The sequence below is a fragment of the Homo sapiens genome, chromosome 11 (assembly GCF_000001405.40).
Source record: "Homo sapiens chromosome 11, GRCh38.p14 Primary Assembly".
NCBI lineage: Eukaryota > Metazoa > Chordata > Mammalia > Primates > Hominidae > Homo > Homo sapiens.
In genome coordinates, this window is record NC_000011.10 from 85573819 (window position 1) to 85598373 (window position 24555).

Sequence of the window (24555 nt, forward strand, 5' to 3'; positions counted from 1 at the left end):
AGAAGACTCAAAAGCTAAATTCATGTGTGTTAATAAATCATGTAGAACCTTAAAATGCTTGAATAACATGACCTCTTTTAAATTTGAAATTGAATCACATATTGCTACTATTTACAGAAATTAGAGCTCAAGTCAGTTAGACTAAATTTCTTATCTAGAAATTGACATTTTCAAGAAATTGGGAGATTAATTTTTTAATTTAAAAAAGGTAAAAGCTGATAAAAAAAAGCAGTGCTATATTCAACTAGCTGGTTTCAAATGAAATATTAATGAAACTATTTTGCATAACATTTGGCAAGAAAATAATGTTAACTACCTCAGTTGTGAATATTATCAAGCTTCAGAGAATTTAATAAAAATTTTTCATATTATTGCGCATTTCATGACCTCTTCTCCTTCAAATATCATGGTTTTAAAAACACTGATACTCTGCCTTTTCTCCCAAATTTAAATTTCTAACCTTGATATCTCCCTGGTACCCCAAATTTCTATATCAAACTACTTACTTAATATAGCCTGATTTTCTACCCTACCCCCCAAATATGCTGCTTTCCTACACTTCTCCATCTCTGAAAATAAGAATGCCATACCTCTAGCTGCTCAGGCAAAAAAAAAAAAAAAATGACTCCTCCTTGACTCTTCTGTTATTCTTATACCTGCCACCCAATCCATTAGCAAACTCCTTAGCTCAGATATAGTTTGGATATTTGTCCCCACCAAATCTCATATTGCTATGTGATCCCCAATATGGGAGGTAGGGCCTAGTGGAAGATGTTTGTGTCATGGGATGAATCCCTCATGAATGGTTTGGTGCCCTTCCTGTGGTAATGAGTTACTGCAAGATCTGATTGTTAAAAAGAGTCTGGGACCCACCCCTCGTCTCTTTTGCTCCCTCTCTCAACATGTGACATACCAGCTCCTCTTTCCCTCTGCCATGACTAAAAGCTTCCTGTGGCCTCACCAGAAGCTGAGCAGATGCGGGTGCCAGGCTTGCACAGTCTGCAGAACTGTGAGCCAAATAAACCTCTTTTCTTTATAAATTACCCAGTTTCAGGTATTCCTTTACAGCAACACAAAACAGACTAATACAGTCCCTATCTTCAAAATCTAGAATCTAACCACTCTCACTATTCCCACTTCTCCCACACCCTAATCTAAACCATAACTATTTCTCACCTGGAATATTACAGAAAACCTCCAACTCCTCTCCTACATTTTCTTCCTTGCATCCTCTCAGTCAATTCTAAATATATAATGCAGAGATGATCATTTTAAACATAAGTCAGACCCTATTATTATTATTCTCAAAATCTGGATTCCTACCTCATTCACAAAAAAAAAAAAAAATCTTTATAATGGCCAAGAAATTCCATAATCTGTCTTCCCACCAAAACTAAGCATTTCCTACTACTGTTTCTCAATCAGGACTGATTGAGGTCAAGTGCAGTGGCTCACACATGTAATCCCAACACTTTGGGAGGCTGAGGCAGGAGGATCACTTGAGCCTGAGAGTTGGACACTAGCCTGGGCAACATAGGGAGACCCCATCTCTATGAAAAAATTAAAAATTATCCAGGCTTGGTGGTGTGCGCCTGTGGTCCCAGCCACTTGGGAGGCTGAGATGGATGGGAGGATTGCTTGAGCCCAGGAGGTAGAGACTGCAATAAGCCATGATTGCACCACTGCACTCCAACCTACATGACAGAGTGAGATCCTATCTCAAAAAAAAAAAAAAAAAAATAGTGACTGAGTACATCACAGTGTGCTCCTGGTATTCCTGGAATGATCTGGGCATACTACTACCTTTGCATTTGCATTGCATTTGCATTTGCTTTCTCCTTTGCAGATAACTATACAACTCACTGTCTCAGCTCCCTCAAGTCTTTACTCAAATGTCTTCTTAAATAGGACTTTAATAATTACTCTATTTAAAACAGCAACTCTTCTTCTACTTTATGGTGCTCCAGATTACCCTTCCTGGCCCTATTTTTCTCCATACTATACATTTGTATATTGCTGATATCTACCATGTAACTACAAATTTCATAAGAGCAGGAATATCTGTCTGACTTTAACATCTAGAACAGCATTTGGCACACTATAGGTGCTCCATAAATATTTGTTCTATTAACAAGCAAATTAATGAAAAGCTTAGAAAAATATAATGAATAATTGCATCAATAAGAATACTTTTTAATGATAGTTTTACATTTGTTGAGACAGCTGAGATTCAGTCAAGAATTCTAAAAGAAAATGTTCAAATATGTAAGAAAAAATGTATCTCAGAAGTCCTCTAGATTAAACACTAGAAGCTAAGTCATACTATTAAAAGAGATCCATATTTTTATTCTGTCAAATTGTCATAGTATTGCAAATATCATATTTTTATATTATCAGCAGTAACCTCAAAAAGGAACAGAACATGTAAACAAGTAAAATTTGCATACTTTAATAGGTCTATCAATTTTAAATGATGCTGTTTTGATTGTTGCATACCAGCAAACTCCAAGAGATTGCCTAGCAATGCAATAGCATAATTAACCTGATGTACTTTCCTGACCTCATAAATCACACTTTCTGATCCTCTGAGCTCTTGGCACAAAGACCCTGGAAAGAATATAAAATTTCTACTGAATTAACTATAAATTTTTGTAAACCCAAAGATCCATTTTAAATGGATTTTTTGAACATAGTACTTTTCACAAAGAATCTAATAATTTTGATTTAAAAGAAAAAGCAAAAACAAAGCAACTGTTAACGTACTTAGCTTGTCAAAATTTAAAAGTCAACAGTCAGTAGGAAATTAGCTTTTCCCTCAGTCACAAAATTGTATCAGCTTATGTTATAGTCCATGAACTCTGCTAAGTGTTAGGATTAAAAGAGTGAACAAGACAACCAAGTTCTTTCCTTCAAGAAGATGACATTACAGTTGGGAGGGAACACATCACAAATAAATATAAATATATATGTTGATAAGTACAATAAATAAAAATTATCTAGAGTAACAGAAAAAAGAGTAACGGGAGAAGGGTGGCTATTTTAGATGGAAGTAAGGAAAGGCTTAAGATGGCAATTGAGCAGACACATAAACTAGTAAGAAAGTGGGCAAAGAATTCCACACAGAGGAGACAGCATGTACAAATGCTCTGAAGCAGAAAGTTTATTCAAGGAAAAGTTCAAGTCCAACATAATTGGAGAGGAGTAGGCAATGGGGGGCATGTTAGTAGAAGAGGTGGGAGAAGTAGCTAGGATTCAGATTATGTAAGGCCTTAGAGTAATAAGGACTTTGATTTTGTTTAGAAAGTGACAGGAAGCCAGTGAAAGATTTTTAAAATACTGAGATAAACTAACTTTTGCTTTAAAATATCACTCTGTATGCTATGCAGAGAACAGATTGGCATAAAAGTGAAAACAAATGGATACAGTTAAGAGGCTACTGCAGTAGACCAGATAAGAGACTATAGTTGCTCAGGACAGTATGGCATGATGGAGATAGTAAGAAATGGTAGGATTCCGGACTTAACTGGAAATTCTGCCAACAAGATTTGCAAATAGATTGTATTGGGGTGCAAAAAAAAGAGAAAAATCAGTGATGTTGCCTGTGTTCTGAGTGTGAGTAAACTGGATAAATGATGATATTTATTGAGATAGTGAAGACTAGGAGAAAAGCAAGTTGAGTGTGAGCAAAGGGAGGAATTAAGAGTCCAGTTTTGGCCATGATAAGTTTCAGAATGCTCGACAGACAACCAAGTGGAAGATGCTAAATAGGCAATAGTATATATACAGGATACAAGTCAGGGATACAGATATAAATTTGGGAGTCATAAGCCAATAGATATTTAAAACCATGGGATTGAATGAACCTACCTAAGTACAGAGTATAATTTTTTTAAAAATGAGGTAAGGAAATCAGAGATTACATAAACAAATAGAAAAACATTCCATACTCATGCTCATGGATAGGAAGAATCAATATTATAAAAATGGCCATACTACCCAAAGCAACTTATACATTCAATGGTATTCCTATTAGACTACCACTAACACTCTTCACAGAACTAGACAAAACTACTTTAAAATTCATATGGAACCAATAAAAAGCCCAAATAGCCAAGGCAACCCTAAGCAAAAAGAACAAAACTGGAGGCATCATGCTACCTGACTTCAAACTATACTACAGGCCTAGAGTAACCAAAACAGCATGGTACTGGTATAAAAACATACACACAGACAAGTGGAACAGAATAGAGAACCCAGCAATAAGAGCACACACCTACCACAATCTGATCTTCGACAAACCTGACAAAAACAAGCAATGGGGAAGGGATTCCCTAATCAACAAACAGTGCTGTGATAACTGGCTAGCCATATGCAGAAGACTAAAACCAAACCCCCTACTTATACTATATACAAAAATTAACTCAAGATGGACTACAAACTTAAATGTAAAACCCAAAATTATAAAAACCCTAGAAGACAACCTAGGCAATGCCATTCTGGACATGGGAATGGGCAAATAATTCATGATAAAGATGCCAAAAGCAATTGCAACAAAAGCAAAAATTGACAAGTGGGATCTAATTAAACTAGAGAGCTTCTACACAGCAAAGGAAACTCTCAACAGAGTGAACAGACAACCTATACAATGGGAGAAAAATTTTGCAAACTATGCATCTAACAAAGGTCTAATACTCAGCATCTATAAGGAACTTAAACAAATTCAAGAAAAAAATACATTAAAAGGTGGGCAAAGGACATGAACAGGCACCTTTCAAAAGAAAACATACATATGCCAACAATTATATAAAAAAAGGCTCAATGTCACTGATCATTAGAGAAATGCAAATCAAAACTACAATGAGATACCACCTCACACCAGTTAGAATGGCAATTACTACAAAGTGTTAAAATAACAGATACTAGAAAGGTTGCAGAGAAAAACAAAAGCTTATACACTATTAGTGGGAGTGTAAATTAGTTAAACCATCATGGAAGACAGTGTGGCAATTCCTCAAGGACATAAAGACAGAAATACCATTTGACGTAGCAATCTCATTACTGGGTATATACCCAAAAGAATATAAATAGTTCTATTATAAAGACACATGCATGTGTATGCTCATTGTAACACTATTCACAATAGGAAAGATATGGAATCAACCTAAATGCCCACAGATGATAGACTGGATAAAGAAAATATGGCGTATATACACCATGGAATACTACACAGCCATAAAAAAGAACATGATTATGTCCTTTGCAGGAACATGGATGGAGCACTGGAGGCCATTACCTTTAGCAAACTAATGCAGGAACAGAAAACCAAATATTGCATGTTCTCACTTATAAGTGAGAGCTAAATGATGAGAACACATGGATACATAGAGGGAATAACATGCAATGGAGCCTTTCGAAGGGTGAAGGGTAGGAGGAGGGAGAGAATAAGGAAAAATAACTAATGGGTACTAGGCTTAATACCCAGGTGATGAAATAATCTGTACAACAAACCCCCATGATACAAGTTTGCCTATCTAACAAACCTGCACATGTATCCTCGAAATCAAAATAAAAGTTAAATTTAAAAAAAAAGAGAGAGACCTGAGGACTTAGCCTAAGGTGCTTCTACATTTAGGTTAGAAGAAAAAAGTGAACGAAGTGGTATGTACAAGAAGGTGGACACGATCAGGTATGTCAAATGCTCCTGAAAATAAAAATTCGCCAATGAAATTTGAAACATGGAGGTCTCTATAACCTTGATAAGTATGTGCAACTTTACTTGTACCTTGGGTGGAGAGTGAAGGACACAAAAGCATGATATGGGGTAGCTTCAGGAGAAAATAGGAGATGAAAAGGCATGAACTGTGAGGACAAACAACTTTTTTTTTTGAGACAGAGTCTCACTCTGTTGCCCAGGCTGAAGAGCAATTGTGCAGTCTCAGCTCACTGTAACCTCTGCCTCCTGAGTTCAAGCAATCCACCCACCTCAGCCTCCCAAAGTGCTGGGATTACAGGCGTGAGCCACTGTGCTCAGCCATAAAGAACTTTGTATGCATTTTGCTGTGAAGGGGTTCACAGAAATAGGAGAGAAGCCTGATATGGTTTGGCTGTGTCCCCACCCAAATCTCATCTTGAATTGTAACTCCCACAATTCACACATGTTGTGGGAGGGACCCAGTGGGAGGTAATTGAATCATGGGGTTGGGTCTTTCTCATGATGTTCTCATGATAGTAAATAAGTCTCACAAGATCTGATGGTTTTATAAAGAGGAGTCCCACTGCACACTCTCTCTCTCTTTGCCTGCCACCATCCATGTAGGATGTGAATTGCTCCTCCTTGCCTTCTGCCATAATTGTGAGGCCTCCCCAGCCACATGGAACTGTAAGTCCATTAAACCCTTTTTTCTTCCCAGTCTCAGGTATTTCTTTATCAGCAGCATAAAAACGGACTAATACAGGGCCACATGACAAGAACTGTGGCTTTATGTAGAAGAATGCATTCACTGCCAAATCATGGCCCAGAAGTAAGGCAGCCAGGAGAAGAAAGATCCCAACTTCTCTTTCTTCCCACTCACTAATGACCCACTAGTACCTTGCATTGGCCAAACTCAAACAGAAGTCAGAGAACAACAGAAGACAAGGTAAAGGGAGATGATAGATGAAGGGAATGGATTTTAAAGATGACAATAGTAGCAAACACTTATTGAGCATTTATTATGTGCTAGGCACAGTGAGAAATGCAATACACATATTAATTTATTTTTCCTGACAGCAATCTTATTAGGTGAATACTTTTATTATCATCCCCAATTTACAGAAAGCAAAACTGGGGCATGGAATGGCTATAAAACTTTCCTAAAGTCATACAACTTGCAAGTGGCAGAGGAGCCAGAACACAAACCCAGGCAATCTGGCTCCAGAATCCATACTCTTAACCCTTACACCAAACTGTTTAACAGAAGATGTTTGTGTGCTAATGAAATAATTAAATAGGAAAATAAAAATTAATTTCAAATAGAGGAAGAATGATATTCTTTGAGTAAATAAGGAGAAGTCAGGACATAACCTGCCATGGTTCTTCTCCATTTGTCCTTACAGATTATGTTTCTTCCATTATCTACCCTGTTCTGTGCCCCAGGAGGCTGACCTCAACAGACTGTATCATCTAGCTCCCTTATCCTCTGGCTTCCAACTGGGGTCCACTAATGGGGGGGCACCAGCAGGAAATCAGGGAAGGGAAGAAATAGGGGTTGGGATGTTCATTCCCCCAGCTCTCTTCCTACCGGGCCCTGATTTAGCAGTGGCTGTGCTCCTCTTCCTAAAGCCATAGCTTCTGTCAGGCAGCCCCTTCAATAATACTGTACTGTGTTACAGTAACAGCTCGCTCTCCATGCTCCTTAAGCAGTCTCACCGTTCCTAGCCCACCAGTGCTTCCATCCCTGGTTGGCTCCCTTAACTCCGCTCATACCTTTGTAATAGATCTTTCACTTAAATCTCTTTGAGAACGCCTTCTCTGGCCAGGCACAGTGGCTCATGCCTGTAATCCTCGCACTTTCAGAGGCCGAGGCAGACAGATTGCCTGCACTCAGTTGAAGACCAGCCTGGGCAACATGGTGAAACCCCATCTCTACTAAAATACAAAAAAAAAAAAAATTAGCTGGGCGTGGTGGCGTGCACCTGTAGTCCTAGCTACTCGGGAGGCTGAGGCAGGGGAATTGCTTGAACCTGGGAGGTGGAGGTTGCAGTGAGCTGACATGGTGCCACTGCACTCCAGCCTGGTGACAGAGTGAGACTCCGTCTTAAAACAAACAAAAAAACAAACAAACAAACAACAAAAAAAGAGAAGGCCTTCTCTTACCTGCTAGGACTATGACTGATATTCTAACCAGGTGGAACATTTGACAGATAAGAGGAGAGACCATTTGTTCACTTTAATAAAAGGGAAGGCAGAGTATATGGATGCAGATGTAGGTAAGTTGGTAGATTGAGTCGTGAGACAATGAGAAAGTTCTCTTTTGTTTGTTTTTATTGTCTCAATAAAATAAGAAGAAAGGTCAGCAGCTAATGTTGAAGAAGGTGAGGTATATTGCATTTGAGGAGAAAGAATGTACGAAAATGTTCCCTGGGAGAACAAGTGGACTGTCTGAGGAAGTGTAATAGGCATTTGGTCATAAATTTAAAGTGAAAACAGTTAACAGTATTTCTCCAGCTATATTTGTCTGCCTTGATGTAGGCATAGAGGAGACATACACAGGTTGATGAAGAGGCTGATTTTTGCCCCCCAATGAAGAGAAAAACAAAGAAATTGAAGATGCATGCAAATTGAGTAATCACAGTAATGAACCATGTATTCTAAGTTTGGTGAGGTAGGACATGAAGACTTACGGTAGCTAACAGGCATGAAAATGTGTAGAGCCAATGATTTAGTAGTAGTTGTGGGATCAATGATTGATATGGGAACTATAGAAATGAACTGGGTCAATAAGAGGAAGTGGTAAGTGGTGGTCAGAGAGTGGGACGTTTTAAAGTGAGATGTTAGAGCCTATGAACAATAGTAAGATATAGCATAAAACATAAGAGTGGGTGGCTAAGATGCTGTGGAGGAAGAAATTATTACTGGATAGGCAATCAAGGAACAGATCCAAAAACTACATAATCCACAAAGACAAAATAATGATGATAATCCAAATTTGAGAGTATAAAATCATGTAGAATATTAGTGTCCAGGCTGGGCACGGTGGCTTATTCCTATAATCCCAGTATTTTGGGAGGCCGAGGCAGGTGGATCACTTGAGGTCAGGAGTTCGAGACCAGCCTGGGCAACATGGTGAAACCCCATCTCTACAAAAAAAAAAAAAAAAAAAAAAAAAAAAAAAAAAAAAAAAAAAAACTCGTGCAGCAACTATTTCTGAAGCACAAGGCTTATTTTGGAAATTATTTTTGAATAACTTTTTTTTCAAAACTCAAGGCTTTGCTGAAAGCATTTAATATGCAGTATAATTTGTTTCTGTGTGTTTTAAACTTTTAGGGACTCATGATTAAGGCATTTTGTAAGGACTGGCATACCCTCTGGAGTTTGCTGGCTCTAGGTACATTAGATGATTCAATTTGCAAATATATATTCCTGCAAAGAGAGTTCTAACCTTATGATTTTGTGAAGGCTTATTGTTTTGACAGCAAACTAGAAACAATATCAGCTAGAACCTGGGGAATCAAGAACTAGAAACCAGGGGAAAAAAAAAATATATATATATATATATATAATATATGTGATGTGTGTGTGTGTGTGTGTGTGTGTGTGTGTGTGTGTGTGTGTATATATATATATATATATATATATATATATATATATATGTTTTGTTTGTTTTTAAACAGGGTCTCACTCTGTTGCCCAGGCTGGAGTGCAGTGGTGTGATCAGAGCTCACTGCAGCCTCAACCTCCCAAGCTCAAGGAATCCTCCCACCTCAGCCTCCCAAGAAGTTAGAACAACACACATGCATCACCATGACCAGCTTTTTGTTGTTGTTGTTGCTCCTGTTGTTGTTGTTGTTGTTGAGACAGGGTCTCACAATGTTACCCAGGTTGGTCTTAAACTCCTGGCCTCAAGTGATCCTCCCACCTCAGCCTCTCAAAGTGCTGAGATTAGGGGTCTTAACCACCATGCCTGGACTGAAATATATTCTATATGGTATATCTGTAGGTTATTATTGAAATGTTTGGAATTCCTAACACAGTCTAAGAAGTTCTGTGGCTTCTGAGCAGAGAGCACTTTCTGATGTAAAAGTGAAATGTTTCCTTAAGAAACTCTTAGGACTGGCCCTTATAGATGAATACTCCTCATTCTCTAACTCTTCTATCTTTCGCTAGGAGCCAGAACTGACAGGATAAAGGAGAAGCCTATGAGATACTCATGAGATACTTTCTCTTCCACTGCTCTTTCTTTTGGTTGGTCCTTTTAGTCAATACCCAATACCAAATTGGAAAGGAGTATAAAGGTGAAAACCAGCATTGAGATCTACATGCCTCAGTGTATTGGGGTTGCAAATCTAAGTTGCGTCACACCACATATCTGCAAAGAAAATGTGGTTTTTTAATGTGTTTATGATTTTTTTAGATGCTTCACAAGCTCTCAACCCCTGGTTAATTGGGAAAAGTAACCATCTAATCCAGTTTATTTTTTTCTAATTTTAATTTTTGTTTTTCTTTCAATAGTTTTAGAGAAACAGGTGGGGTTTACTGCATGGAAAAGTAATTTAGTGGTGATTTCCAAGATTTTGGTGTACCCATTACCTAAGCAGTGTACTTGGGTACACTGTACCCAATGTGTAGTCTTTTTTCCTTCACCCTCTGCCCTCTTGATGCCTCTCCATCCTTGTAGCTTGGTTCCCACTTATAAATGATAACATACAATGTTTGGTTTTCCATTCCTGAGTTACTTCACTTAGAATAATGGTCTCCAACCCCATCCAGGTTACTGTGAATGCCATTATCTCATTCCTTTTATGGCTGAGTAGTATTCCATGGTGTGTGTGTGTGTGTGTGTGTGTGTGTGTGTGTGTGTGTGTATCACATTTTCTTTATCCACTCGTTGGTTGATGGGCATTTAGGCTGGTTCACAGTTTTGCAGTTATAAATTGTGCTGCTATAGACATGCATGTGCAAGTGTCTTTTTCATATAATGACATCTTTTCCTCTAGGAAGATAACCAGTAGTGGGATTGCTGGATCAAATGATAGTTCTACTTTTAGTTCTTTAAGAAATCTTCATACTGTTTTCCATAATGATTGTACTAGTCTACATCCCCACCAGCAGTGTAAAACTGTTCCCTTTTCACCACATCCATGTCAACATCTGGTACTTTTTAAATATGGCCATTCTTGCAGTAGTAAGGTGGTATCTCATTGTGGTTTTGATTTGCATTTCCCTGATCATTACTGATGTAGAGCATTTTCTCATATGTTTGTTGGTCTTTTCCATATCTTCTTTTGAGAATTATCTATTCATATCCTTAGCCCACCTTTTGATGGGATTACTTGTTTTCTTCTTGCTGATTTGTTTTCATTCCCTGTAGATTTTGGATATTAGTCCTTTGTCGAATGTATAGACTGCAAAGATTTTCTCCCACTCTGTGGGTTGTCTGTTTACTCTGCTGATTATTTCTTTTGCTATGCAGAAGCTTTTTAGTTTAATTAAGTTCCATCTATTTATCTTTGTTTTTGTTGCATTTGCTTTTGGGTTCTTGGTCATGAGGTCTTTGCCTAAGCCAATGTCTAGAAGTGTTTTTCCAATGTTATCTCCTAGAATTTTTATGGTTTCAGGTCTTAGATTGAAGTCTTTGATCCATCTTGAGTGGATTTTTATATACGATGAGAGATGAGGATCCAGTTTCATTCTTCTACATGTGGCTTGCCGATTATCCCAGAACCATTTGTTGAATAGGGTGTCCTTTCCCCACCTTATGTTGTTGTTCGCTTTGTCAAAGATCAGTTGACTTTAAGTATTTGGCTTTATTTCTGGGTTCTCTGTTCTGCTCCTTTGGTCTATATGAGCCCTACCTAACTTTTTAATTCCAATTTGGATGCCCTTTCTTTTTTCACTTGTCTGATTGCTCTAAGTAGGACTTCCAAAACTATGTTGACTAGAAGTGGTGGAAATGGGCATCCTTGTCTTGTTTCAATTCTCAAGGGGAGTGCTTTCAACTTTTCCCCATTCAGTATAATGTTTGCTGTTGATTTGTCATACACAGTTTTTATTACCTTAAGGTATGTCCCTTCTGTGCTAATTTTGCTGAGAGTTTTAATCATAAATGAGTGCTGGATTTTGTCAGATGCTTTTTCTCCATCTATTGAGATGATCATGTGATTTTTGTTTTTAATTCTGTTTATGTGATATATCACAGTTTTTTTTTTTTTTCTAAGATGGAGTCTCACTCTGTCACCCAGGCTGGAGTGCAGTGGCATGATCTTGGCTCACTGCAACCTCTGCCTCCCAGGTTCAAGCTATTCTCCTGCCTCAGCCTCTGGAGTAGCTGGGACTACAGATGTGCACCACAATGCCCGGCTAATTTTTTTGTATATGTTTTTTGTAGTGACAGGGTTTTGCCATGTTGGCCAGGCTGATCTTGAACTCCTGACCTCATGATCCACCCTCTCAGCCTCTCAAAGTGCTGGGATTACAGGCGTGAGCCTCCACACCCAACCTGTATCACATTTATTGACTTGCAGATGTTAAACCATCCCTGCATCCTGGTATGAAAACCACTTGATTATGGTGTATGATCCATTTGATATGCTCTTAGATATTGTTAGCTAGTATTTTGTGGAGGATTTTTGCATCTATGTTCATCAGGGATATTGGTCTGTAGTTTTCTTTTTTTGTTATGTCCTTTCTGGGTTTTGGTAAATCCCAGAATGATTTAGGGAGGATTCCGTCTTTCTCTATCTTTTGGAATACTGTCAATAGGACTGGTACCAATTCTTTGAATGTCTGATAGAATTCAGCTGTGAGGCCATCTGGTCCTGGACTTTTTTTTGTTGGTAACTTTTTAATTACTCTTTCAATTTCGCTGCTTGTTATTGGTCTGTTCAGAGTTTCTATTTATTCCTGATTTAATCTAGAAGGGTTGTATATTTCTTGGAATTTATCCATCTCCTCTACATTTTCTAGTTTGTCCACATAATGGTGTTCAGAACAGTCTTGAATGATCTTTTGTATTTCCGTGGTATCAGTTGTAATAGCTCCCATTTCGTTTCTAATTGAGCTCATTTGGATCTTCTCTCTTCCTTTCTTGGTTAGTCTCACAGTCTATCAATTTTGTTTATCTTTCAAATAACCAGGTTTTGTTTCATTTCTCTTTTGTATTTTTTTGTTTTGATTTCATTTGGTTCTGCTCTGATCTTTGTTACTTATTTTTTCTGTTAGGTTTGGGTTGGTTTTTCTTTGTTTCTCTAGTTCCTTCAGGTGTGACTTTAGATTGCCTATTTATGCTCTTTCAGACTTTTTGATGTAAGCATTTAATGCTATGAACTTTCCTCATAGCACTGCTTTTGCTGTGTCCCAGAGGTTTTGACAAGCTGTGTCACTACTATTGTTCAGTTCAAAGAATTTTTTAATTTCCATCTTGATTTCATTGTTGACCTAAAGATCATTCAGGGGCAGATTATTGAATTTCCAAGTATTTGTATAGTTTTGAGGGTTCCTTTTGGAGTTAATTTCCAATTTTATTTCACTGTGGTCTGAGAGGGTACTTGATATTATTTTGATTTTCTTAAATTAATATTGAGACTTGTTTTGTGGCCTATCCTATGGTCTATCTTGGAGAATGTTCCATGTGCTGATGAGTAGAATGTATATTCTGCGGTTTTGGGGTAGAATGTTCTGTAAATATTTGTTAAGTCCATTTGTTCTGGGTATAGTTTAAATCCATTGTTTCCTTGTTGACTTTCTGTCTTGATGACCTCTCTAGTGCTGTCAGTGAAGCATTGAAGTCCCCCACTATTATTGTGTTGCCATCTATCTCATTTCTTAGGTCTAGTAATAATTATTTTATAAATTTGGGAGCTCCAGTGTTGGGTGCATATATATTTAGGATTATGATATTTTCTTGTTGGATGGATCTTTTTATCATTACATAATGTCTCCCTTTGTCTTTTTCAACTGTTGTTGTTTTAAAGTCTGTTTTGTCTGATATAAGAATAGCTACTCCTGCTCACTTTTGGTTTCCATTTTCATGGGGTATCTTTTTCCACCCCATTACCTTAAGTGAGTTCTTATGCGTTAAGTGAATCTCTTGAAGAGAGCAGATACTTGGTGGGTGGATTTTTATCCATGCTGCCATTCTGTATTTTTTAAGTGAGCATTTAGGTCATTTACATTCAACATAAGTACTGAGATGTGAGGTACTGTTTTATTCATCGTGCTAGCTGTTGCCTGAACATCTTGGGTTTTTTCTTTTTGTTAGTGTTTAATAGGCCCTGTGAGATTTACACTTTAACGAGGTTCTATTTTGGTGTATTTCGAGGTTTTGTTTCAGGATTTAGATCTCGTTTTAGCATTTCTTGTGGTGCTGACTTGGTAGTGATGAATTCACTCAACATTTGTTTGTCTGAAAGATGACCTTATCTCTCCTTCATTTATGAAGCTCAGTTTTGCTGGATACAAAATTCTTGGCTGAAATATACTGTGTTTGAGGAGGCTAAGGATAGACCCCAATTCACTTCTGGCTTATAGGGTTTCTGCTGAGAAATCTGCTGTTAATCTGATAGGTTTTCCTTTATAGGTTACCTGATGCTTTCGCCTCACAGCTCTTGAGATTCTTTCCTTTGTTCTTGACTTTATATAACCTGATGACAACTATGTGACTGGGTAATGATCTTTTTGTGATGAATTTACCAGGTGTTTTTTGAGCTTCTTGTATTTGGATGTTTAGTTCTCTGGTGAGGCCAGGCAAGGTTTCCTCAATTATGTTTCCCAAACTTTTAGATTTATCTTCTTCCTCAGGAACACCAATTATTCTTGGGTTTGGTTAACATAATCACAAATTTCTTGGAGGCTTTGTTCATTTTTTTTTCTTTGTCTTTTTTGGATTAGGTTACTTCGAAAGCCTTGTCTTCAAGCTCTGACATTCTTTTTCCTACTCATTCAACATCATTGTTGAAACTTTCTGGTGCATTTTGTATTTCTCTAAGCGTGTCTTTCACTTCCAGAAGTTGTGATTGTTTTTTCTTTACAATATCTATTTCTCTGTAGCATTTTTCATCCATATCCTGTATTGTTTTTTAAATTTGTTTAAATTGGTTTTCCCCTTTCTCTGGTATCTCCTTGAGTAACTTAATTATCAACCTTCTAAATTCTTTATCTGGCAATTCAGAGATTTTTTTTTATTGGTTTGAATCAATTGCTATGAAGCTAGTGTGGTCTCTTAGGGGTGTTGTAAAACCTCATCTTGTCATATTTTCTGATTCCTTCTCATTTGGGTAGACTATTTCAGTGGAAAAATCTGGAACTCAAGGGCTGCTATTTAGATTCTTTTGTCCCATGGGGTGGTCCCTTGATGTGGTACACTGCCCCTTCCCCTAGGGATGAGGCTTGCTGCAAGCCAGACTGCAGTGACTGGTATTGCTCTTCTGAGTCTAGCCACCGAGTACGGCTACCAGGCTCCGAGCTGGTGCTGGGGAATGTCTACAAACAGTCCTGTGATGCGATCCACCTTCAGGTCTCCCAGCCATGGATACCAGCGCCTGCCCTGTTGGAGGTGGCAGGGGCGTGAAATAGACTCTGTGAGAGTCCTTGGTTGTAGATATGTTTAGTGTGCTGGCTTTCTCAAATGCTGGTTATGCTAGCAGTGACACTGTCACGTGGACAGATTTAGGACCACTGGTTAGCCAGGATGTTGCAGGGCACACGGAATTAGCTGTTGTTTTCCTCTTCCTTGGAGCAGCGTTATTCTGTCATTGAGTTGCTGCAACGTCCTGAGTTGGTCAGACTACAGGCAGAAGGTGGTGCTTTCAAGAGAGCACCAGCTGTGATAGAAGAGGGGGGATATAAGCTTGCCCTAAGTTGACCAAGATAAGTGTTCAGGTTTCTCAAGTAATGGGCGGGGTCATAAAGCTCCCAAAAGTTTATGTCTTTCATGATCCACTACTGGGTATAGAGAAATACTGTCAAGTCAGGGCAGGGTTAGGCAGATCTGAGCTCAGACTCCCCTTGGGTGGGGCTTGCTGCAGCCACTGTGGGGGTGTGGGAGGGGTGGTTCTCGGGTTAAATTCCAAAGGGGATTATGGCTGCCTCTGTTGCCAGGAAAGTGAGGGAAAGCCAGTAGCGATAGGCCCCACCCAGCTTTTACCCAGTTGGTGAGGCCTGTCTCACTCCCACTGTGCCATCTAAAACCACTGAGTTTGTCTCCAGGCAGCCTGCACATGGGACTCAGACCTAGCCCCAAGTTATAAGTTTCCCAGCTGAGAAAGCAAGCAGGGCTTTCAGGTTACACCCCTCCCCATCTGCCCACATTGTCCCCCATGACTCCTCCTCTCCTTTCTGCCGCAGTTCCTGCTTGCCCCCACATTCTGCTCAAGAGAGTTTGTGCCCAGTCAAAATTATTGTAAAAATCACAATTACTTTTGCGTAGTATCTAAACATTTTTTAATATAGTATAATAATATGAATTTGATCAGCTCAAGAAACTTCTAATGATTTTAACTGTTTAATCCAAATAACCATTTACTTCAAAGGACTCATCACAATTATACTTATTTAATATCTTACTTGTTTAATGTAGTAGACAATGAGCTCCATGAAAACAAGGTGTACATCTCTCTCATCACTAAAACCCCAGAGCCTAATGTGGTGTCTCTTTGATAGTGGGAGATCAAATGTATTTTTTCAAATGAAAGAAATTTAATGAAGAACTGTTCATTCCATGCCAGATTTGGCTGAATTAGAACTGGTCCCTGCATTCAAGAAGCTCACAGTCTGCTGAGGGAGAGCAACATGTAATCAATAAACAATAGTACAATATAATAAGTGCTGTGCCAGAAATATAAACAAATACCATAGAAACATAAGGGAAGAAGTGATTAATTCTGCTTAAAGGTAGAAAATATTAAGAAGTTTTTGACCAAGTAATAAATACTCATTTCCTTGGGATGGATGTTTATACTAAGAAATAATGTCTATATCACATTCTATTAACTTGATTAGTTCCACAGTTCAGTAAAACATATTCTATATTGAAAAATTTTTTTAGATATTACTACGCTATTTCAGGACATCTTGAAAGGGCTTATTCCTAAAATAATCTTTTAGAATTTTTTTTATATTCTCTCTCTCTCTCTCTCTATATATATATATATAAATTCCCTGAAAGTAGTTCAACAACAAAAAGTAAAATTCAAGGCTATAATATTAATAATACTAGTTTGCTTGCTATAGGAAAACCTAGATGAGAAAGCCTATTGCTTTTTTGCCAGCTACCACATATTAGTTACAGTGATCATCACCAAATTTTCACTTATTATGTACTTAACAGAAATCACCAGATCCTTTCACACTCCCAACAATAGCTTTGGGGTTTCACTATCTCACTATATAGGGAAATCTCATATGCACTCAAAATAAAAGATTTTTTTCCTATATTAGCTACAGCACAAATAATAGCATCCTTCATTTAGAAACAACCAGCCTCATACTCATCTAAAGCACATAAATTTAGTTAAATGGTGCCATCTGGTGACATAAATCTTGCAGTAAATATAAAAGTCCTGAGTCAGAGTCCAGAATGATACCCAACCCTCTTGATGGCATCCAATCCAAAGTGTCTAATTTAACTTAAGAAATACTTGATCCTGCCTGACATGAAACACACAACTAATCACACTCAGTATATGGCCGTTTAACAAAGGGAATTATAACAATTGTTTGAGCCACATTTTATGCTCACCACTCTTGTTTCTCAACTCTTTGGAAGAGACTTGTATCTAACAGGATGCCCTATACAACTCCTAGAAGACATTTTAAAAGCATAAATATCAAGGACATTTTGAATCCCTGTTCCAGGCAGATCCATTTCCTCACTCTCCTTTGAACGTACATCAATGTGTATAATTTTCAACACTTCAAAATGTCACTTCCTTAAGAAAGCTGTCGACCAGGTGTGGTGGCTCACGCCTGTAATCCCAGCGCTTTGGGAGGCCAAGGCAGGCAAATCACAAGCTCAGGAGTTCAAGACCAGCCTGGTCAACATGGTGAAACCCCGTCTCTACTAAAAAAAAATACAAAAATTAGCTGGGCGTGGTGGCACATGCCTGTAGTCCCAGTTACTCAGGAGGCTGAGGCAGAAGAATCCCTTGAATGGGAGGTGGAGGTTGCAGTGAGCCAAAGATCAAGCCACTGCACTCCAGCCTGGGTGACAGAGCTAGACTTCATCTCAAAAAAAGAAGGAGAAAGCTGTCCCTGTTTCTACTGTTAAGGTTAAGCCTCTCATTCATAGCCAACTCTACTTCTTCTTTGTATATAAACTCTTGACGAAATTTTGTTTAATGCTTGTCTCCCCAGTGTGTATCATAGCGTTTGGCAAAGTGTTCAATAAATATCCTGTGAACGAATTAATGTGTAAATGGATGGTGAAAACATCCTTCTCTACTCTCTCTTCTAATGCAAATCCTATTAATAACAAGGCTCAGCTCAAGTTTACATTTTATATAAAACCTTCTCTAGCAACAACAATGTACAATAAGCCCATGCTTCTCCTATGCCATTTTAGTCTAGCCCCAAAAATTTAGTCCTCCACTATATGATGTTTTGTATTGTTTTTCATGTACATAAATATTACTTTCTTAATTGACCTTAAGCTCCTTAAGTGTAGGCATTTGGTCTTAATAGCATCCATCTGCATAAGTCTATGTAAATAAGTAAACACTTCATAAATACTTTGATAACTATTATTATTCAATTGCAATAACTAAAACACTTGTACTCTTTTTATTTAAATAAGTATTGTAAACAAATAAGTAGAAACATAATAGACCTTAGCAACTAAGAATTTCACCTTCACTGTTTTGAACAGTCAAGACTTATTTAAAGATCCATGATATGTAATTTGTTTGTTTCAACTGAAGCACATGCTTTGAGATTGTGAGTGGCAGCAAGCATTACCTAGGAAATGCCTCTCTCACATGGGCCAGCAACAACATATCAATGTAGCTTTATCCATAGAGATACTTATTGTAACAGAATTCTATCCATAGAATAATTATTGTAACATAAGTAGAAACTATCTTGTAACATAAATAGAAACTATCATTAATTATCCAAAGAGAAAAAAATCCCTTAAATGTTTTAGATATTCTATTGTAAGGCTGGGTGTGGTGCCTCATGCCTGTAACCCCAGCACTTTGGAATGCCAAGGTGGGAGAATCACTTGAGCCCAGGAGTTCAACACCAGCCTGGGCAAAATGGTGAAGTCTCCTTTCCGCAAAAAAAATTCAAAAATTAGCCAGGCATGACTGCGCATACCAGTAGTCCCAGGTACCAGGGAGGCTGAGGTGGGAGGATTGCTTGACCCCAGAAAGCAGAGGTTGCAGTGAGCTGAGACTGCACCACTGCACTCTAGCTTGGGCAACAGACAAGACTGAGAAAAAAGAAAGAAAAGAAAAAAAAAGAAAAGAAAAGAAAAAAGAAGGAAGGAAGGACGGAAGGAAAGAAAGGAGGGAGGGAGGGAAGGAAGGAAAATAAAAAGAAAATTAAAAATAAAAAGATATGCTACTATATTTTAAAAAGAAAATTGGACACCATAATGATAATTGTGAGTTTATGGATTACAAAGTACTCAAGATATGTCCCAGAATGATAATGGCTCATTATAGTCGTTACAGATTAAATCAGATCCTATAAAACACAAGAAGGAAAAAATGCCACTGTCATATTCTCCCAAGTTTAGTAATAATATTCACACACTGTTAATATATTACTTTCCCTGAATGGCCAAATACCTAACCATTTAGAACATAGGTTTTCAAATTTTAACATGCCTCAGAATCACCTGAAAGGATTAGTAAAGTACCATTTGCTGAGCCCTACTTCCAGAGTTTCTTATTCAGTCAGTAGGTCTAGGGTGAGAACCAAGAATTTGCAATTCTAACCAAGTTCACAGGTGACTAGTGCTGAGGTCCAAGAACCACATCTTGAGAATCTCTCTTTTTGAAGATTACAGCCAGGTTGTTTCACCATTAATCTTTAAATGGGTTAACAAAAAAAGATATAAATAAACTAAAAGAATAATAAATACAGCCAAGTTGCTCCAAATTCACACAACTGTAGGGGCCTTCACACCCACTATTTAAATAATCCTTCACTTCCTTATGATCAGATGGCAAAAAATACACATTATGATTAATAATTAAGACCAAAATAGCCGTGATATATTCAAAGAGATGTTATTTTGAAATAAAATTACTACATTCGAATTACTATTAGGAAAATATGTAGGGTTTTTTTTACTCAAACTAAAACTCTTATACATATTTATTTTATAGACCTTACCATCATTATAATTGAATAATAATTAATTGTGTGTTTAATGTCTCTTTTCCCCTACTTGTCCATAAGGGTATTGACTGTCCTCTATAGCTTACTGTTGTATCCCTATTGCATAGCACAATGTCCAACACATAACTGGTATTTTTAAAAGAAGTGTTGATAAATGAATAAAAATTTATTAAAAGTCTATTATAATTATTAAAGGTCCACATTATGGGGATATAAAAAGGGGCAGAAGTATATTCGATTTACCATAAGGCAATGTGATAAATGCTTTTTAGTAATATGAAAAAAATGCTATGAGATACAATGAAAGGGCTAGTTAAAGCTGCCAGCAAGTAGGAATGTGTTAGAAGGCTTCAACAAAGAGATGATAAATCCCAATATGTAATACATCTGCTGTATCACCCCTATTGCTAGTAATCTCCAAAATCCACAAGGTTCTCTGTTAAGATTTATGGAAATGAAATGTACTCTATTCTAACACAAAGTCTAACATGTAAGGTTTAACTGCCTCCATTAAACAAGATAAGCCCTTTTCTAAGATTTTGCCACTGGTAGAGTTTTTTTAAAGTATCATTTACCGCTTGTTCTCCTCTAATTTCCCTCTAATTCCTCTCCAAAAAATTCCCCCTCACACACTGGGAAGAAATATAAGGCAATAAGTTAGATAAACAAGACTAATATGATTTTAGAAGGGGTTGAAATCTGTGAAATATATCTATAGTTATTTCCATACTTTATAAGTAATGACTAAAGAATAACACATAATTTTCAATAAGTTACAAAAAACATTTGTGTTACATATCTAAAATTTAACTAACCCATAATATTATTTATTTAAAGTCTTCAAAAACAATTATGGTGGTAATATAGTTGTTTAAAAATTAAAAGTCAATTTAGAAGTACAAAAATAATTTTTAAAAATGATTCAAGGCCGGGCACGGTGGTGCATGCCTGTAATCCCAGCACTTTCGGAAGCCAAGGCCAGCAGATCACAAGGTCAGGAGTTCGAGACCAGTCTGACCAACATGGTTAAAGCCCGTCTCTACCAAAAATAAAAAAATTAGCCAGGAGTGGTGGTGCATGCCTGTAATCCCAGCTACTCGGGAGGCTGAGGCAGGAGAATCGCTTGAACCAGGAGGCAGAAGTTGCAGTGAGCCGATATCGCACCACTGCACTCCAGCCTGGGCAACAGAGTGAGACTCTGTCTCAAAAAAAAAAAAAAAAAAAAAAGATAAATCTTGCTTCTTTATCACCTAACTGAAGAACTGAAGAATAAATAACCTAATAAAAGTGCCTTGAAAATCTTAATGTTTTATATATTCTAAATAAAAGAGATTTACATATTCTAAATTAATTTGTAAAATATCACAGAATTCCAATTCCATCTAAATGTGCAGCTTCTAGTATATTGCCATTTTAGGTTTGTTTTGTTTTGGAATATTAATGAACACTGATTATTATTATTTTATTTAGCTATTCTAAACAAAGAGACATAAATTAATCATAAAATATTATGGAATTCCAATTCTCTTATATTCAAATTCTGGAAAGTGTTGATGCTGTAATCATCTTAAAACTTTATTCATTTGGATAAATGTTTCCTTAGTATTACCACAAGATGTCACCCTAAGCCTAGCATCTAAATGTGCAGCATCTAGCATATTGCTGTTTCAGGGTTTTTTTTATTTTTTGCATTTGGTTTGGGCACACTAATGAACACCAATTGCTGTCTTTCAAAAAATTAAAGTGACTTTTTCTACTCTCAGTTATTGGCAAATAAAAAATCAAAATAAATAATACAGGGACTCTAGAAGAAAGGAGGAAGAAAGTTAATCAAACAGTTCATTCTCCATGCTTATCAGGTATCTTGTTACTTACCATAAAAGCAATGTATTTAACCATTGAATTTTATATGATTTTACTTTATTTTCAAAAATATTAAAAATTAATAAATGTTACTTTTATAATCAAAGTTATGTTACAAAATACCAGTCACAGTTATGTACACAGAATTCCTCAAAGAAGATACCATTTAAAACATGCTAGTATTTTTTTAAGCATATGATGAAGGACCACAAAAGGAAGACATTATTCATTTTATGGTGATGCTTTTCAGCTGGGGGCAGTGGCTCAAGCCTATAATCCAAATACTTTGGGAGGTTGAGGTGGGAGGATCACTTGAGCCCAGGAGTTCAAGACCAGCCTGGGAAACATAGCGAGACCCCATCGCTACTAAGAATTGAAAAATAAGGGTCAGGTGCAGTGATTGACGCATGTAATCCCAGCACTTTGGGAGGCTGAGGTGGGTGGATCATGAGGTCAGGAAATCAAGACCATCTTGGTCAACATGGTGAAATCCCATCTCTACAAAAAATACAAAAAATTAGCCAGGTGTGGCAGCACGCACCTGTAATCCCAGCTACTCAGGAGGCTGAGGAAGGAGAACTGCTTGAACCGGGAGGCAGAGGCTGCAGTGAGCCCAGATTGTGCCACTGCACTCCAGCCTGAGCGACAGAGCGAGACTCCATCTCAAAAATAAATAAAACAAAATAAAATAGAGTGATGATTTTCATCTGTAGAGAGAGGGACTGGCTTCCTTGTCACATGTAAATATTACAGCATGTTCTGCAGTAATGGTATTTTATTATCCATTTGTGTTTTCTACATTATGATTCTCTTCTATTTCTACAGCTAATGAGAGTCGTGCGAGGTACTATTTCAATGTGTTGGCTATGTATTGGCCAGAATAATGGGTGAAACCACTATCTTGCACTACTTGTAACAGGAAAAAAAAGGGTAGGATGGGGTGGGGGAGTTGGTTCAAACAGAATGCAAATTATAGACCATAACAATGCGCTATATTTCAATGGCTCCCTACCTATCCTTTACAAAGATATAAATCTTCTCTAGGATGCACAAGTCTACATGGCTTTTCTTCTTTTGTGTCCTTAAAGAAAATGCACAGTAAGACCGCCCAAACATTCAATAATAATAGATTACTAATCAGTACATAGGTGCCCACATTGAATTCAAAAGAAAATTATGTTTTGTTGTATAATGTTGCTCTCTTGTTTGCACTCTGGTTTATCCTAAAATGACTTTTAACGACCAGCTGAAGTAAATCTATCCATTCAAAGCTGGGCACTGGGATTACTTACATAACAGCTTTTTACAGATTATTGTTGCCTCTAATTTTACTAGAGAAATTCAAACTACATTATTGGCGTTAAGCCAAGATATTTATCATTCACTTAAAATAATGGCAAAATACAATTGTCACTCATTTGTCTTTGTATTCCCTGGGTAATGGTGTTACATTATCAAATGATTATATTATTAAAAATATAGTAGAGTTATCTAAATTATCCAACAATACCCTTTCTAAATCAAGTTCTCAAAAATGCAAATTCTCAAAAGACTTAGCCAGTCTTAAGTAAACACATCATACAAGTCTGTTAAGATACATTGCCATTTAGTTAATGACCTTTACTAATTATCAACTATTAATAAATATTAATTTTATCAAAAATTTGATGTTTAAAAATGTTCTCAAAAATATTATCTTTGCTGAATATAAGGTTTATTCAAATTCTGTAGGACTCCATTTAGAGTTTTTATTTAATACCAGCTAAGATGATTACAGTTATGTCATTAATTCTTGCTAGCCACAATAAAATATTTTTTAAAAGTTAATCCACAGGCAAAATAATCCTGTAAAGCTTTACACTTCTATTTTTATTCAATAGACCGATTTTCAAATTTTCAAAATTGAATAATTTTTAAAATTACATTCAAACTATAAAGTTGGAGTTTTTATCAAAAAGTACAGATATTTATAATGAAAACAAAGTATTTTCATAATTAAGCCTTATAAGTTCCTATTTTTTGATTTTATATCAATAATAACCAGCATGAAAAAGCAATGAAAATATCTAGGAGACTCAGTTATTTCTTTAAAATTATTTAAAATCAGTTATTTATTTAAATCTGGCAAAATATATTGTATAATTGAGTGGGTTTTTCATTGTTTAGTTAGTTGGTTGTTTTTTTGGGAAAAGTATTTGTTTATTTATATATTTTGTTAATTTATTTTACTTCCTAAAATATAAAAAAGAATTAAAAGCTATTTGCACAAATATAAGAGATGTATATAAAAAAAAATATATAAATAAACCATATCCTTAATTTTCTTTACAATCTTTAATAAATAGGAGAATAAACATAAGTTTAAACATTATATGGTTAGCTTCATGACAAATTGCTAAGAATTCCAAAGCACTGAGATTTTCATCAATAAACTTTTCAATTCTGGATCATAAACTTTCCTAAGACAAGCAAGAAAGATGAAAAGATGTTTTTATTTTTGTTTTAAGAAGAGAGTAAAAGTGTAACTTTGATTCTGAGTAGAATGTGAACCATCATTTTTATGTTACACAATTCCTTCCCTGAAGGAAGACAACTTCCTTCTTTAGCATATTTGTCCTCAATGTTTTATAACACACTACTCAGGGTTTTCT

The 24555-nt window shown here is 36.7% G+C and overlaps 1 protein-coding gene across 12 annotated transcripts in view; it reads right to left on the reverse strand.

The window, feature by feature from the left end:
* Positions 1 to 24555, reverse strand: part of DLG2 (discs large MAGUK scaffold protein 2) — a 2173362-nt gene that overhangs the window by 2118807 nt on the left and 30000 nt on the right. The gene's annotated exons all lie outside the window — the stretch shown is intronic.